Below are 18,025 nucleotides of genomic sequence, written 5' to 3' on the forward strand. Positions count from 1 at the left end.
GATAACTCACTCACTGACTATCATGAGAACAGCACTGAGGGGATGGTGCTAACCCATTCATGTGAATTCCGCCTCCATGATCCGATCACCTAATACCAGTCTCTGCCTAGAACACTGGGGATTACATTTCAACATGAGATTTAGGTGGGGACACAGATCCAAACCATATCAAATGGTGAAGCATAGGTTAAAAAAAAATCAACCTTGTGAACATTAAAAAATATCTGAGTCCTCAAAGTGTGTTTCTCAGGTCCTTAAAGCATATCACCTGTGGCTTGGAAGTACATAAAATGTAGGCTCCTCTTTCTTTTTCATTATTGTAAAGTCAGAGAAAAAGCCAACTTAGAGCCATGCCCACAGTACAAAATCTGTTCAACAAGATTAGATTGTCTTTTGTTATTTCTTCCTTCCTTTGTCTTCATTTTATAAACGTATGCATGCACACAGCTTTTAAACAAGAGGCTAATTGATTAGGAAACCAGTGTTGATTTGATGTAAGCAACAATCCAAAAAGTAGAAAATATTATTATTGTTTACTACAAATGTATGGACTCAAAACTAGCTTAACTGTTATTATTCCTCAAGAGAATTTATTTTTACTCAGCCTCTTCTCGGAGAAGAGTGCTTTAGACCAAAGCTAGCAATTATAAAGCTAAGAAATCAGGCAACTGCAATACTACCAAACTACAAAAAATTTACACTAAACTAGTAAAGTTAAATGTCATTTTTAAAAAGCCCCTCTTACATTCTAGTCTATTGACAGGCATTGTGTTGGGAACTTGGTAGAGGAAAGAAAACTTCAAAAATATTTTAAAAGATTTACCGACAACAAATATACCTTGTTATTTTTCTAGTATGTAATTATTATTATGACTTTTTTCCCCCACTGATTTCTAAAGACCCGTATACTGATATAAAAACTAAAATTTTGTGCAATTCAAGATCCTCATTTCCCTCCTCTTTTCTAAAATAATTTTTTTTTTTTTGAGACAGAGTTTTGCTCTTGATGCCCAGGATGGAGTGCGATGGCACAATCTCAGCTCACTGCAACCTCCACCTCCTGGGTTCAAGCGATTCTCTTGCCTCAGCCTCCTGAGTAGCTGAGATTACAGGCATGTGCCACCATGCCTGGTTAATTTTGTATTTTTAGTAGAGACGGGGTTTCTCCATGTTGGTCAGGCTGGTACCGAACTCCCAACCTCAGGTGATCCGCCTGCCTTGGCCTCCCAAAATGTTGGGATTACAGGCATGAGCTACTGTGCCGGCCTACAAAAATCTTAAACAAAAAAGTTGTAATACACTAGCTGATCACTGTAGTGAAAATGAAAATGCGTATTTGTGAGAGCTGAGAAATGACACCAGATAGAGAAGAAATTATTTGACTCTAATTTTTCTTACAAAGATTAAATTGGGATTTTAATATATAAAACCTTGAATATACATAGAATATTAAACGAAATAGTTCTAATTCAAATTGAGAATTGTCTTTTACACTGAAGGGAACTATGATTTCAAAAACAAAGGACTTATTCCATGCTTACATGCTGAGATATTATCAGAGCTGAAATGTTAAGAGATGGTACCTAAGGTAATATTTGTATATTCTCTATATAATGACTGAGAACCAGTTAAAAGGCTTATTTTAAAAAGCTAGAAAAGCAATTACGAAAATTTAGGGTTCTGTGGAAAAATTCGATCATGGCATGAACTCCATTAATGATGATTTGCCAGCAAACACTGGTTAGAAAAAGCTGGCTGAGAGAATAGCAAGGATAACCAATTAGGATTAGAACATCAGCCCTATTGCTATAAAATAACTATTGACAGTAGATCAATGGTATTAAGATCACATATACTAGAACCAGACTGCCAGGCTTTAAAGTCCAGGACCAACAGTTATGAGCTGTGTGACTTCAAACTGTATTTCTTAGGTCGCCAAGGTTCAGTTCTATCACATTTAAAATAGAAAATGACAGTAGTCATTCCAAAGCTATCTTGAGTTAAATAAGATAATCCACATAAGGGGTTTAGCACAGTGCCTGGCACATAACAACAGCTTGCCATCACCACTACAGCAACCCTGGGCAGTCCAACTTTTTGGCTGTTTCCTTAAATGTAAAATACAGGGTTTGGACTAGATAATTTCTAATGTCTTTACTCATCTAAAATTAAAATTCTACAATGTATCAACAATATACAAGCCAACTCTATTTCCAAAGAACATAAATTTGGATTTTCACCCCAGCATGATTTAAGTACTGTAAAAGAAACTTATTTTTAAGATATCCTTTTATTTTTATTTAATTTTTTAGAGATGGGGTCTTGCTATGTTGCCCAAACTGGACTTGAACTCCTAGGCTCAAGCAATCCTCTCACCTTAACCTCTGGAGTAGCTGAGATTGTAGGAACACACCACTGTTCCTGTTATGTCATCTTTTGAAATTAGCTATAATCACTACATTTATTAAAGCTGAAGTTATAGATATTCTATGTAATCCACAAGAAATCCATAATCTTCCATCACATACTGTTTGGTGACCATAATAATTTCTGAATAACAAGTCCTAACAGGAATTTCAAGGTATATAATCCCCCACTATATTTTTTTAAACAATAAGAACATTTCATACCCCATACTTAGTAAACAGAAAATAAAGATCATGAAAAATTTCAAATATATAATACAGAAAAAAGGAAAGAACTATTTTGAAACTGTCCAAAATCTAGAGGTTTAATAAAGTCTCTCTACTGATATGTTACAACTCAAAACTCAAATTACAGGCCAAATTTTTTTTGCAGGAATATTAAGGTTTTTTTTAGTATGACTCATAAATATCTAAACCAAAAATCAATTGTAATATGACAACACTAACTGCACCAACCCAAATAAATCCTTCCAATAGGGCTTTTTTTTGGGGTTTCTTTTTGGATTTGGAGAATTTTTCTTCATATATCTTAGGGACATTATTAAAAAAATTTTAAAAACCTTTTCAGGTTTTAAAAATTACCAACAGTGTGTGTGATCACTGAAAAGAGGTTAATCTAAAAATTTTAAAGTATTTTTCCAGATAATAAGATCATACTGGTGAGAAAAGAGTTCGGGCTCATCTCACTCAAATACTTGCATAATAGGCTCGAAAGAATAAAAAAATTGTTATGTTACTTCTTAATATAAAAAACACACAGGTCTGTTAAAATCTGACAATTCAATAAGCTCTCAAACCAGAAAACACGTTTCCCAGTCAACACTCATACTTATTTCTGTATTAGGAAAAATGGGGTTGTTGCAGGGGTCTTTAAAAAAAAAAGATTTCTCTTAAATTCGTAACTCTGTTAACTGCACCTTCATTTCCAGAAACCTTATCTTTAACAAATCTCTACACTATTCATACTTAGCACAATTTCCAATCATTGAAGACATTTTAGTTTTACCTTACAATCAGTACAAAGCAGCTGTGTTAAATTCATTCCATAAGATCAAAACTATACTGTGTCCTTACCCTCAATATTTAGCTCAAAACAAATGTGGCAGAAGGAGAGTGTTTCTTTGTCTGTTCCCAGTTTACAAACACTGCAAATGTTGTCATCATTCAAATCAATGTTTACAAACTGCTCCTCTTCGTTCATAGTGCCCCTATTAAGAAACAGAAAAGGAAAGTTACACAATTTCATGAACCTGCCTTTGGGGTAGTTCCCTTTACTGGGAACTTCTAGGAAATAAGGATGCTGTTCAGCTCATTTAAAGCAAAAGCTCCATCAAACAAGCATCGCCATACTTGCACTCCAACATTGCACTTTTCCTGTGGAAAGACACAAAGCTAGTAAAACTTAAAGCCAGGCCATAGGTGACACTATGTCCGTGTCTTTTTTGTCCTATAGTTGATTGGGTTAGTGGCACCTGAAGGAAAGAGATTTGCCGGCATTCTAGTCCTCCTCCTTCGTCCCCCAACCTCGAATAATCAGAGGGCTTAGCAGCGAGGCCTTTTCAGCTACCAGGTTCTGTCAACCTAGTTAACGCTGTGAGAAACAGGAAAAACGACCTGCACGGGACACTGCTTTGCTAACTTCATTGGGGGAACCTCAGATGCGCCTCGCGAACTCGGAGTTGCGAAGCTTCGCATCGAACGGAGATCGGCGGCAGCAAAATGCACGTGGGTACCGAATACCCGGGGAGGGCGTCCCGCCGTGTCCGGGGCAACTACACCGAAGGCCGAGCGGCGGCTTCACGGTACCGGCCGGGCACCGCCGGAGGGGCCCAAGCCGGAGCTGGGAGAGCCGCGGCATCCTGGAGCCCGGCGGGCGGGAGAGCCTCGTCCCATCGCTCCGGGATTCCTCCCAGAGGGAAGAAAGCGTCCGAGGGCCACGGCGGCCGGTCCGCCCAGCCTCAGCGTCTCGGGGAGCCGGGTCCTGGCCCGGCCTTCGGCGTTGGGGGCGCGCGGCCGCCCCCAGGGAGTCGCGGACCCAAGTCCGTCTTTCCGTCGGTCTGTCCGTCGGGGCGCCTGGCGCGCAGCAGCGCGAGGGGCCACGGGGCTCGGAACTCGAAGGAGGCGGAACGATGGGACTGGGGGTCGGGGCTCAGGTGGGATGGGAGCAGGGCTGCGGGGTCTTTACCGTCCGGCTCCGCGGGCCACCACCGCCGTTCCGTGCGGCTCGGGTTCCTCCACTATTGTTTCCGGCCGCAGCAGAGGCGGCCGCCGCGCGCCTGGCCCCGCCCTCTCCCGCCGGCTCCATCCCGTAAAGGCTGCGGGGAGGGTGGCGCGGCCGCGGGCACACCTGCGCGCTCGCCGGGCTGCTGTGGGTCCGCCCCTCCGCTCCTGCACCGACGCCGCACCTTCGCCTCGAGTTCTCCTGTGATCCCGTGTTTCCTGGCCGGAGTTTCTTACCGTTCTCTGGAACGTAGCTCCTCACACACCCCTCCTCGAGGTGCGTAGATAGACGAATCCGTTCCACCTCTCCCTTCAGCCTAGTGCAAACTACTGCCCCGGGGCGGGGGCCGCAGGCGGCGGGGGTAGGAAAGCCGCGGGTGGATGGCAGAACGGGAGAGGTGCGTGGGTGGCACTTTGACTTCAGGAGAAAGAAGCAGAATACTGTCACTGAACTTATAGTTAAGTGCCAGTTGAAGTATCTAACGAAGGAAAAGTTCATATTCAGGTGTCATGATAGAGGCATAATTTCAAATACAGAATCTTTTCAAATACATTATTTGTTGTGGGGCGCCCCTGCCCCCAATATGGTACATCCCTCAACGCCCACGGGAAAAATCCCGAAGCCCCACCTCTTATTTTTAGGTCCTGCTTGGTTCTCAAATTCTTTGCTTGACTTTTGTTTAAGCTATTCTGTTTTTTTTAGGGTATGGTTCTTGCAGTACTTTCACTTACATTTTCCATTGTAGTCCTCACAGTAACCTACAGAGGAGAAACAGGAACTGTTCTCTCATGTTGCAGCCTACGAGTAATTGACCCAGGTTATCACAGTTGGTTAGAAAAAGGCTGGGACTTGAACCGAAGGCTACTGACCTAAGATCAATGTTATTTTCTACAGCATCATATGTATGTGTTCTGGTTGCACTCACATAGAAAGAGGGCTAGCCTGTCAATCTACATGTAGGCATTCTTGAACTGATGGTTAGGAATGGACTGTCTAGATCTTGGAAACTTCTGGGCCAAATTAGCACTCCAGTTATGGCATTTGTGCCTCGCAGGAGCGATCTGTGTCCTTGCCACCTAAATTGTAGTAGATGAACAAACAACATTGACATTACTTGGTTTCCTGTTAGAAATGTAGAATCTCAGGCCCCACTCGAGATTTCCTAAATCAATACTTGCACTTTAACAAGACCGCCAGGAGATTCCTATGTTCATCGAAGTTTGAGATGCACTAATTGAAATGAAAAGCCTGTGCTTTTTCTCTTCGAATTTCTCATTCTAGGTAACTACGACTAAGATACCTTGCATGTTGGATTCTACCCATCTTTTCAATAAAAAGCATTCTTTTAAAAAGGACTCTTTTAAAGTGATTCAATAAAAGTGTTCTAAAATCACTAAAATTTAAAAATTGAAACAAGTTATTTTCACTTCTCAGAATTGTCTTCCTTCCTATGGCATTTCACATTGTTTACTTGCTATTCTTAAAACTCTTCTCTCTTGTTGTTGGCTTTTTAAAAAAAATCAAGGAATAATTTACAGAAATAAAATGCTTCCATTTTAAAAGCATTATTTGATGAGTTTTGGCAAATACATACACTTGAGTAACCACCACCCCAGTGAGGATACAGAACATTTCCACAGCCCCGACATTTCTTTCTGTTCCTTTCTGGTCAAGCTCCTTCAACATGGGATCTAATTTATATGACGAAGTGTTTTAGTTTTGTCTGTTATAGGAATTCATATACATAGAATTAAGCAGTGTGTGTTCATTTGTGATTGGCTATTGTCATGCAGCATGTTTTTGAGATTCACGATGGTATTTTGTAACAGTGGTTTCTTTTCACTGCTCGTCTTAGTCAGTTTGTGTTCCTATAAAGGAATACCCAAGGCTGGATAATTTATATAGAAAACAGGTTTATTTGGCTCATGGTTCTGGAGGCTGTACAAGAAGCATGGTGCCAGCATCTGTTTCTGGTGATGGCCTCAGGCTGATTCCATTCATGATAGGAGGCAAAGGAGAGCCAGTATGTGCAGAGATCATGTGGCCTGAGAGTGAGCAAGAGAGAGAGGGGAGGAAATTCCAAGCTTGCTCTCTCTTTATTTATTTTTTATTTTTTATTTTATTTTATTTAAAAACGAGTTCCACTGGGAATTAAGAGTGGGAATTGATTCACACCCTAGAGAATGGCACCAAGCCATTCATCAGGGATCCATAACTAAGCTCCAACCCCTTGCTCTCCACTCCCCAACCAAGCTTCACCTCCAACGCTGGGGATCAGTGGGGCATGGGGGCTCATACCTGTAATCTTAGCACTTTGGGAGGCTGTGGTGGGCTGATCGTTTGTGTCTAGGTGTTCGAGACCAGCCTGGGCAACATCGTGAAACCCCATCTCTACCAAAAAACCCCACAAAAATTAGCCAGGCAGGGTGGTGCATGCCTGTAGTCCCATCTACTCAGAAGGCTGAGGTGGGAGACTGGCTTGAGTCCTAGAGGTGGATGTTGTGTGAGCTGAGATTGTGCCACTTCACTCCAGCCTGGGTGACAGAGTAAGACTCTGTCTCAAAAAAAAAAAAAAAGAGAAAAAGATGTCCACACGCTAATTCTTGGATATTTTGAATATGTATGTAACATAGCAAAAGAGACTTTGTAGATATAATTAAGGTTATAAACTTTAAAATAGGTTTTCCTGGATTATTGCGCTGAGCCCAATCTAATCACATGAACCCTTATAACCAGAGATCTTTCTCCAAGTAAGCTCAGAGAAATGTAGCAAAGAGAAAGTCAAAGTGATTAGAAGCATGAGAGGGACTTGACCCACCATTGCTCTAGGAGCAAACACTGGTCTCCAGCTGGTAGCCAGCAAGGAAATGGGAGCTACAGTCTTTAAACTGCAAGGAACAGAATTCAGCCAACAGCCTGCATAGATTGAGAAGCTCATTTGAACAATCTTCCAACACTTTGATTTCAGCCTTATGAGATTCTAAATAGAGGAGTCAACTGAATCATGCTGTACTGGAATTTTTACCTACAGAACTGTGAGATAATAAATGGGTGTTGTTTCAAGCCATTAAACTTGTGTTAGTTATGCCAGCATTACAAAGATTGAATGTCGAAATTTTTAAAGAAGGTTGAGATTTATTTTGGGAAGATGTTACTCTAGTGGCTGATCAGCTTGCTTCTTTAGAGACTTGTTTGTAAACCTTGTGAGGGTCTACACTATCATTTTGTAATATGGATATCTTAGTCCAGTCCTTGAAGAGTGGCTTCTTAGACCCTCTATTGTATGTCATGGGTATTTAATAAAGATTCTGCACTCTAGTTGATTAAAACTCAAATGACTCCTGTCCCTGTGAGTTCCAGCAGGTGTTCAGTTTGTAGTTCCCCAGTAATTGTTCTTTCGGTGATAGTTATTTTTTTGCCCTGGTATTTAAATTTTCTGTAAAGTCTCGCCCTATACATGCACAGCTTAGTATTCAGCCAAAGACTTAAAGAAAGAGTATTCTGAAACTCTATAGTTTTTCCTTTCTGCCAGTTTTTATTGCAAATTCCAGCCCGTCTTAGACTCCCCAAACTCAAATCTTTTTCTCCCCAGAGCAACTTTGCTTGGATTTCCTTATGTGGACCATGGTCTGAAAGTACTTCCATGCATAAAATCAGGGTAATTATAGGTCTCCTCTCATTTGTTTCTTTCCTATTATGGATCACATGTTTGTACTGTCTGTGTTTCAGTGTCCTAGAATTCATATTTTCTAGATTTTGGTTGTCTGCTGCCATGTGAGATGTGCTTTTCACCTTCCACCATGATTGTGAGGCCTCCCTGGCCAATTGGAACTGTAAGTCCATTAAACCTCTTTCTTTTGTAAATTGCCCAGTCTCAGGTATGTCTTTATCAGCAGTGTGAGAACAGATTAATACAGATTCCTAACTAAGCCTAAAGTCAAAGTAATGTCTGTTTTAGGCCAAGAGCTAATTACAAAACTAGTTATTGTATATCGCTTTATAGTTTATAACACATTTTTGCACACTTCACTGAGTTACTAAATTAGTAAGAATTGTAGTTAGTTAAAGGTAAAATCCTTGACTATTCAAAGACCTAGGCTTTGAACCTGTACAGCATATGACTGTACTGAATACTATAGGCAATTATAAGGCAATGTATTTGTGTATCTGGACATACTAAAGGTATAGTAAAAATACTGTATAAAAGAAAAAAATGGTATATCAGGCACTGATTGTGAATGGAGCCTGCAGGAGTAAAAGTTGCTCTGAGTGGGTCAGTGAGTAAATGGTGACTGAATGTGAAGGCCTAGGACATTACTAAAAATCACTGTAGACTTTATAAACACTGCACATGTATACTACACTGTTTATTTTATAAATTTTTCTTTCATCAATAATTAACCTTAGCTTACTATAAATTTTTTACTGAATAAACTTTAATTTTTTAAATATTTTGACTATTTTGTAATAACAGCTATATTAGTCCATTTTCACACTGCTCTAAAGAACTACCTGAGACTAGATAATTTATGAAGAAAAGAGGTTTAATTGACTCACAGTTCCACAGGCTGCACAGGAAGCATGGATAGAATAGGAGGCCGTAGGAAACTTACAACCATGGCAGAAGGCAAAGGGGAAGAAAGCATGTCTTATCATGGTGGAGAAGGGGAGAGAGACAGAGCAAGGGAGGAAGTGCCACCCACTTTCAAATAACCAGATCTCGTGAGAACTCACTCACTATAACGAGAACGGCAAGGGAAAAGTCTACCCTCATGATTCAATCACCTCCCACCAGGCCCCTCCCCCGACATGTGAGGATGACAATTCAAGATGAAATTTGTGTGAGCACACAGAGCCAAACCATATCATTCCACCCTGGCCCCTCCCAAATCTCACGTCCTTTTCACATCTAAAATCACAACCATGCCTTCCCAACAGTCCCCCAAAGTCTTAACTCATTCCAGCATTAATTCAAAAGCCCAAGTCCAAAGTTTCATCTGAGACAAGTCCCTTCTGCCTATGAGCCTGTAAAATCAAAAGCAAGTTAGTTGTTTCCAACATACAATGCGGATATAGACTTTGGATAAATACTTCCATTGCAAAAGGGAGAAATTGGCCAAAATAAAGGGGTTACAGGCCCCATGCAAGTCTGAAATCCAGTGGGGCAGCCATTAAATCTTAAAGTTCCAAAATAAACTCCTTTGACTCCATGTCTCACATCCAGGGCACACTGATGCAAGAGGTGGGCTCCCAAGGTCTTGGGCAGCTCTGCCTACATGGCTCTGCAAGGTACAGCCCCTGAGGCTGCTTTCATGAGCTGGCTTTGAGTGCCTACGGCTTTTCCAGGTGCAAGGTGAAAGCCGTCAGTGGATCTACCATTCTGGGGTCTGGAGGACAGTGGCCCTCTTATCACAACTCCACTAGGCAGTATCACAGAGGGGACTCTGTGTGGGTGCTCCAACCCCACGTTTCCCATCTGCACTGCCCTAGTAGGTCTCCATGAGGGAGACCAACAATATCTGTTAGAGAGATCGCATAATGTTTTTTTCTGAAAATCATTGCATTTCCTCTACAATGGTGAAAATTTTTCTCATCATTTAAAGTCCAATTCAAATGAATGTCTGCTACAAAAATATCTCTAGTCCTTTTACTTTCCTGAATTCCCACAATGCTTGCTCATAGCACTACTATTTTTAGTATGTTTTTCTGACATGGCCCCATTTTTAAAATAAAGGATTTAGTATATTCAATATATCCATCCACCCATCTCTCACCTATTTGTTTCTCCTCCTATGTTATCTAATTCTCTCCAATTAGAGAGGTGCTTTTTCCATTTAGCCAGGAAGATTGGCATATGTAGCCCCAGGCTCAAAGCCTTCTGGTACCATGATCCTGAAGGTACTGGAAATTCAAGATGGTGTGACTGATTGACTGAATTATTATTTCTACTTCTTCACCCCCTTTCACTTACATGTGACCTTATAGTTCACTGTAGTGAGCAGAATATATTTCCCCATCCCAATGAGATATTAATGAACATGACAGTGAGCAGAGACCTTAAATGTGCTTGTGTGCCTTAGCTTGGCTTCTTTATCTCTGTCATATGTCACAAGAAGACCTTCATCCAGGTATTTGCTGGTCCAAGAAAGATGAGAGAGATGTAGAGATCAAACAGATTGAAGGGTCCAACTTGCAGCCTAGCTCTGGGTTGCCCCAGCTGACCTATAGATCCATGATGTTGGTTATTAAAGTACTGATATGGTTTGTCTCTGTGTCCCCACCCAAATCTCATGTTGAATTCTAATCCCCAATGTTGGGGAAAGGACCTTGTGGGAGGTGATTAGATCATGGAGGTGGATTTCCCCCTTGCTATTCTGGTGATAGTGAGTTCTCATGATATATGGTTGAAAGTGTGTAGCATTTTCCCCTTTGCACTCTCTCTTTCCTGTCACTATGTGAAGATGTGCTTGCTTCCCCTTCACCTTCCACCATGATTGTAAGTTTCTTGTGGCCTCTCCAGCCATGCTTCCTGTACAGCCTGTGGTACTGAGTCAATTAAACATCTTTTCTTTATAAACTACCCAGTCTCAGGTAGTTTTTAATAGCAATGTGAGAACAGATTAATACAAGTACTGGGGGTTGTACAATTATGCAACATTTTGCAGTGATAGCTGATTAATACAGCGGGATTCTGAATGGCCAAATGTGATTCATATGCTTGTCTCTGAATCAAACACAATTGCTAGTACTTTAATTGGCCAGGCTCTATTACATTTCCAGCTCTTCCTCCATTCCCAAATGATTGAAGTTGGCTCAGGAGTGGGGGTGTAGGAATTAAAATTTGATCTCAAGATATGGAAGACAAGTTTCCCAAAAGGAAAGTGGTTGCTCTTACCAGAGGAAGGGAATTGGTTTGAAACCTATTAAGCAGGAAAAATCTATCTGTCATAATCTAGTCTGGTACTCTTTCTACATCATTATTTATTGCTAAATTTTAAGCTGATTTGTATGCAGAAACTCTGCCTTACTCATCTTGTGTTTAACACTTACAAATTATAATGTCTTATAATTTGTGTTTGAATCCAGTAGGATTAAGTTTCACTGCAAGTAATATAAAAATCCCCAAGTAACAGTGACATAAAAAGTTGGACATGGGCAGACATGCTGGCTCATGCCTGTAATCCCACCACTTTGGAAGCCTGAGGCAGGAGGGTCACTTGAGTCCAAGAATTCATGACCAGCCTGGGCAACATGGTGAAACCCCATCTCTACAAAAAAATACCAAAAAAATTAGCCGGGTGTGGTGGCGCAGGCCTGTAGTACCAACTACTCAGGAGGCTGAGGTGGGAGGATTGCTTGAGTATGGGAGGTCAAGGCTGCAATTAGCTGGGATTGTGCCACTGAACTCCAGCCTGGGCAACAGAGTGAGACCTTGTCTCAAAAAAAAAAAAAAAAAGTTGTACTTTATTTTTTTCTCTTATGTTGAAGACTAGAATTGAGCAGCCAGGGTGAGTGTGGTGACTCTGATTTTCAAAGTTCTTAAGCATGCATTTTGCTTTGTTTTTTTTTTCCATGAGACAGAGTTGCTCCGTCACCCAGGCTTGAGTTTAGTGGTGCAATCTTGATTTACTGCAATCTCCGTCTTCTAGACTCAAACTGAGGTGGGGGCTTGGGGACCACATCTTTATTCCAGATGACCATATGGCCAGCTAAAAGTCAGGGCTTCTAAAAGAGGGAGCATAGATATTGCAATTTCAGCAAGCAATCTCTACTGCAGTGCTCAATATTTATTAAATGAATGAATCACATTAAAAATTAAAACTGATTAATAAACACTAACAATTAAATTTTTAATCTTAGATGAAATGCTGGATTAAAGAATATATTTGAGGCTGGGCATGTTGGCTTACACCTGTAATCCTAGTACTTTGGGAGGCTGAGCCAGGTAGATCACCAGGTCAGGAGATGGAGACCATCTTGGCCAACATGGTGAAACCCCGTCTCTATTAAAATACAAAAAATTAGCTGGGTGTGGTGGCGCACACCTGTAGTCCTAGCTACTTGGGCGGCTGAAGCAGAGGAATCTATTAAACCTGGGAGGCAGAGGCTGCAGTGAGCCGAGATCATGCCACTGCACTCCAGCCTGGTGGCAGAGCAAGACTCTTTCTCAAAAATAATAATAATAATAATAATTTGCTTAAAAATTATTTTTGATTTCCACTGAAATTGAACAATTTGGCAGGCTTATTTCAGTTTTATTCATCCATTTTCTAAAAGTGTAATCCTTATAAGATTCTACACAGGGAGTCTAGCGCTGCTCTTTTGGAATCTTTAACCCTGAAGAAAATATCACTCTTAAAATTATGGCTCCTCTAAAGCTTAGACAAGCATCCCTCTGAAAGTTTGAGATACAGATATTTGCATTAAAGGGATTTATTACCTATAGTTTTAGTAATGCTGACATTATGGGTAAGCTGTCTGCTGATCCATTGTCTTGTTTTGCAAGCAGAACAAAGCAAACCTATTTCTAGTCTATGGATAAATTCTGTGTTGGCATTTCTGGGAGAAGATTGGGAGTTAACTACCAAGCTATTGATTTTTTTTGTGTCTGCTGTGAGCCAAATCCAGTCTTCAGTAATGTGCACAGTCCCCCCTGTTAAATTCAAGGTGATAAAAGGAAAGTTTAGTATTGATGTCTGAAGTTAGAAAAGTCTGTTTCATAATTTACCAGAGGTTTATTTTTATATTCCATTGTGTAAGTATCAGTCTTTGGGTATAGAATACTCAAGCTAGAAATTAAAATCCAGACGTGTTTCTGAGTTTACTATTGGTGTACCCATTGAATGAGATACAATTTTGAAGTTTGATGCTGAGAGAAATATAGCATTGTTAAAAGAAAAACCTTAGACAAATTAAATTTAACAGAGTTGAATTGAGCAAGAAGAAAATGATTCGCAAATCAGGCAGCCTCCAGAATCACAGCAGATTCATAGAGATTCCAGGGATGCCTCGTGGTCAGAGCAATTTATAGAAAAAAAAAAAAAGGAAAGAAAAGAAAGTGACATACAGAAAATGGAAGTGAGGTACAGAAACAGCTGGATTGGTTACAGCTTGGCATTTGCCTTATTTGAACACAGTTGGAACACTGAGCAGTGTGTGAGTGGCCAAAGTATGGCTCCTGGGATTGGCTGAGATTCAGTTATTGCCACAGAAGCATTCTCCTAAGTTAGGTTTTCAGTCTTGTCTACCTGCTACGTTAGGTTATGGTTTGTCCAATAGGACTCAAGTATGGAAATAGAGAGGCTTTCTCAGGCCATATTTAGTTCCATTTAACAGCATTAAGGGTAGTAAAAAAAAGTACAACTTTTTTGCTTTTCTGCTTTTTTAATTTCTACTAAACACTATTTTTTTCACAAAAGTTAAAACCAATGAAAAATGAAATTCCTTCATTCAATCAATCATTGATTTATTCATTCAATAATTATTTATTAAATGCACATTATATGTGAGATACTGTGCCGGGTATTAGTTACACAGTAGAGAGCAAAACAAAGTTCTTCCTCTTGAGAAATTTACTGCTTAGTATAAGCAAAAGGCATTAAGTAATTGCATTTGGAAAGGAGTTTTTAATGGCAATAGAATACGTTTGCATTTCAATTGCTGTAGCACCATGAAGATGTCTAAGTACCACATTGGCAAATAACTTTTATTTCTTGCTTTTTTCATTATTTTGCTAAATCTTATATGTTAAGCATATTAATAATTCATTATCTATAGTCTGTAATAAGGGATCCCACCATAGTATTTGTTTTCAAAATAACTGGAAAATGTAGGTTTCAAAACTGAAAACATTTTAGCTATTTTGAAAGAAAGGCTTCCAAAGTGTATTATATTCTTTTTTGCCATCTTAAAATATATAGGAGATAATTTATACATTAGCAAAATGTTTGTGTTAGCGGAGGGTAAATTGTTATAAACCCTGACTTAGAAATTCAGTGACTTAATAAACAAGAAAATGGTTTTTCCCTCATGTAATAACTGAAGGTAGGTACCCCAGGTTGGTAGTAGCTCTCCTTCACATGGTGATTTAAGGACCCAGGTTTCTTCCATCCTCTAGGACCTTGTCATCTGGTGCAAGGTCAGGATTGCATCCAGATTTCAGCCACTGGAAAGGGGGGTAGTGTGGAGGAAGCACACCTCTCTTAAAAGGCCCATTCCTGAAGAGGCAGGCACATACCACATCTACTCGTATTTCACATTTCATTACTGAGAATTTAGTCACATGGTTACATCAGTCTGTGAGGGAGATGGGGAAATGTAACCTATTTTTGTGCCTAGGAATAACGAGTGGATAATTTTTAGTAGATGACGAGCTGTCTCTCCCACAGCCTGAAACTCTGGCTGCCAAGTTTCTGTGTATATCCTTCTCATACTCATCCTCTCTCTGGGCAAGCCCCAAGGAGCACATTCACCCCTTCAGCCAGGGAGACAATTCAAGGTTATAGTCAGCTGCTGCATCCAGCTCAGCATCCATAGGTATGTTGATTGGTGATGATCAGTCCTCTCACTCACATCCATAGGTAGCTCCTAGTTATCTGGTGACCTATAAGTTGAAGGTAAAATACATCCTCTCTTTCTGTCACTCCTTCTTCCCACCAGAATAAATGGTGGACCAGAGACAGGATAACTGCAGTTAAAACTCCTATTCAGAAAAGGGAAGAAGGAGAAACACAGCAGTCACTGGTCCATAGCACTGATAGAAACCAGCTAGACACGGTGGGGGTCAAAGACCTCTGTCTTAGTAGTGAAGGAACTTCCTTGATTGGGCCTTATTTCTGCTTTATGGGAGTAAATTCTTGTCCATTGGTCTCTGGCCCCCTGCTGTGCTATCTGGAAGTAACTTCTTTGCCTATTATTCTTCTTGATCAGATCTAAGAGGGCTTTGGGGAATTTGTTCCTCTTGAAAGCTGCATATATTTTACAGCTTAGTTTGTAGGCCCATAGAGTCACAAGGCTATTTGGTTCTTAGGCTCATAGATTCTTTAGCAACACAGTTTCCTCAGTCTTAGTAAATTCTAAGTTTATTTGCTTCCAAGGTGCCTGTAAGCACAACCAAAACATTTTCTGGATGTATTCTAGATAGTACTTCAGCTTTTGCTTTTTTGCTCTTTCTCTGACATGTTCTTTCACGTTAATAGCAGCTATCTTGAGGCTATCTGAATAATTAGGCTTTACTGGGGAGGCAATAATCTGACCTTTTGCCATTTAGAATCCAGAATCAGTCAGCTTTTCAGGTGAGAGGGTGTTTTTGGCCCCTTCTCCTTGAAATTATTGTCACTTTTCAAGGAGGTCTTCTCTGATCACCCTATTTGAAACTTCCACCTGGACCCATCTTACTGTGATTTTTTTAAAACACTACTTGTCACTTTCATATATTTATATATATATACATATATATAAATATATGAAATGATATATAACATATAATTATTTATTATACTAATTGTTTATCATCTGTCTTCCTCCTTTGGCATGTAAACTCCATGAGGTTTAGAAGTTACATTATATTCTCTGATATCTGTCAGGTATAGAGAACAGTGCCTGCTGCATGGTAGGTGCTCAACAAATCTATGTTATGTGAGTGAATGAATAATTTGAGAGTATGTTGACTTTTCAGGATCTGCTATATATCATGCTATATGTCAGCTATGCAAATACTGCAGGTTACAGTTATTCTTTCCTATTGCACATAGATAGAATTTTTACTTTGCTCATTTCGCAGTGTAGGGCAGGATGAGTGCATCTGTTTTTTCTCTGTTCTCTCCATAGAGACCTAGTCTATGCCAATTATGGAAATTCCATTATTCTTGTTGGTGATCAATCTAACAATGGACAAGTGAAGCATGTTGGCCAGTGAGGGATAAGCAAAAATATGGTAGCATGAAGGATCTCTAGAAAAAATTTTGTTTTCCTTTCACTTCCTTCCTTTCTGCTGTGGGTTTTGTTTTTGTTTTTGTTTTTGGTAGAGACAGGGTCTCACTCTGTCACCCAGGCTGGAATGCAGAGGCACATCACTGTAGCTCACTGTAGCCCCAAAATCCTGGGCTAAAGTGATCCTCCTGCCTCAACCTCCCGAGTAGCTGGGACCACAGGTGTGCATCACCACACCAAGCTAATTTTTGTATTTTGTGTAGAGATGGGGTTTCGCCACATTGCCTAGGCTGGTCTCGAACTCCTGAGCTCAGGCAATTCACCCACCTCAGCCTCCCAAAGTGCTGGGATTCTGTGAGTATTTTTTATTCTCATGATGATACGATGTTGGAACTTCAGCACCTGTCTTATGATCATGAAGGCAGACATTGCTAACATTCCGAGATTTAATGACGGGAAAGACAGAAAGAATCTCAACCCATATGACATAATTGAATCCCTGTTCCGATGTTGGAATAATTTTCTTTTTAAATGAGATAATACGCTTCTACTTTATTTAACCCATTTGGGTCTACTGTACTGTCATTTGTTGATGTACCTGTAAACATCCTAACTGATACAGCAGCAGTATCTTCAGTAGCTACTGAGACTAATTTGCTACCACACTGCAACTCATTCAACCATTTGTCCATTCATTCATTTATTGAGTAAATTTTCTATATACTAGGCTCTATGCAAAACCTAGAGGTAAAAAGATAAAGATGCAGTTTGTGCATGTCCTCATGGAACTGACAATAGTGGAACAATTACAAATTCAGTAAAAAAGTAGTAGTTGTACAGGAGTTCCACTAGTTCTACTGAATTTGAATGATGGTAAGCATTTGCTCTGTGATAAGTGTCCTAGACAGATAATTTGTCTTCTAGACATATGAAGATGGATTTCACCTATCCATCCTTCACCATTTGAGGGAGGTTCTCTTCTGTTGCCACAGAAGAAGTGGCACCAATGTAGGCAATTGTGACCATATTATTTAGTTCCTATCTATTGAGACATAAACTCATAGGTGGAGAAGATTATATAGCGTTAAATGTGAGATAGCTTGCTAGTTTGCTTCTTTCTTCTCTATGCCCACTTATAGGTTTTTCTTAAATACTTAGAAAAGTAGAACTCTGACTGTGGTTAGAATGCATACATCAAATTGTAGCTGTTTAAATATGCTCCTATAGGCTCTTGGTCAATTTTGCGTGTATGCCTGGAAAATAAATTAGAATTGCAGATCGTTAAATATTTTAGTTTTATCCTCTGGGAAACTAGTTTTGTGTGTGTATGTCTTTTTTTTAAAAAAAAAAACCCTACAGCTCTATCAATCTAAGCCAGCTATCTAGTCATTGATATATTGAACAATTTTATTTGCAAAGCTGTTCAATATCTGCAAATGGTGTTAGT

The 18,025-nt window shown here is 40.0% G+C and overlaps 1 protein-coding gene and 1 long non-coding RNA gene across 4 annotated transcripts in view, besides 2 other annotated features; one reads left to right on the forward strand and one right to left on the reverse strand.

Moving 5' to 3' along the window:
• The window catches only part of C21orf91 (chromosome 21 open reading frame 91), a 30,383-nt gene extending 25,718 nt beyond the window's left edge, over positions 1–4,665 (reverse strand). For all 3 annotated transcript variants that reach the window (NM_001100421.2, NM_017447.4, NM_001100420.2), the window contains exons 1-2: positions 4,612–4,665; positions 3,501–3,634 (exon numbers count right to left, since the gene is read on the reverse strand). In NM_001100421.2, coding sequence (NP_001093891.1) covers positions 3,501–3,627 — 127 coding nt within the window. In that variant the 5' untranslated portion in view covers positions 3,628–3,634; positions 4,612–4,665. The remainder of the gene's footprint in view (positions 1–3,500; positions 3,635–4,611) is intronic.
• LOC124900465 (uncharacterized) overlaps positions 1–18,025 on the forward strand; it is a 145,830-nt gene that overhangs the window by 69,397 nt on the left and 58,408 nt on the right. The window lies entirely within an intron of this gene.
• Positions 4,280–5,059: a silencer, noted in NCBI's record as "silent region_13223". NCBI's record gives its function as "represses an Ori minimal core promoter by ATAC-STARR-seq in GM12878 lymphoblastoid cells {active_cell/tissue: GM12878}" and the evidence as "EXISTENCE:reporter gene assay evidence [ECO:0000049][PMID:35858748]".
• Positions 5,310–5,359: an enhancer, noted in NCBI's record as "active region_18301". NCBI's record gives its function as "activates an Ori minimal core promoter by ATAC-STARR-seq in GM12878 lymphoblastoid cells {active_cell/tissue: GM12878}" and the evidence as "EXISTENCE:reporter gene assay evidence [ECO:0000049][PMID:35858748]".

This window comes from Homo sapiens, chromosome 21, assembly GCF_000001405.40.
Source record: "Homo sapiens chromosome 21, GRCh38.p14 Primary Assembly".
Lineage (NCBI taxonomy): Eukaryota > Metazoa > Chordata > Mammalia > Primates > Hominidae > Homo > Homo sapiens.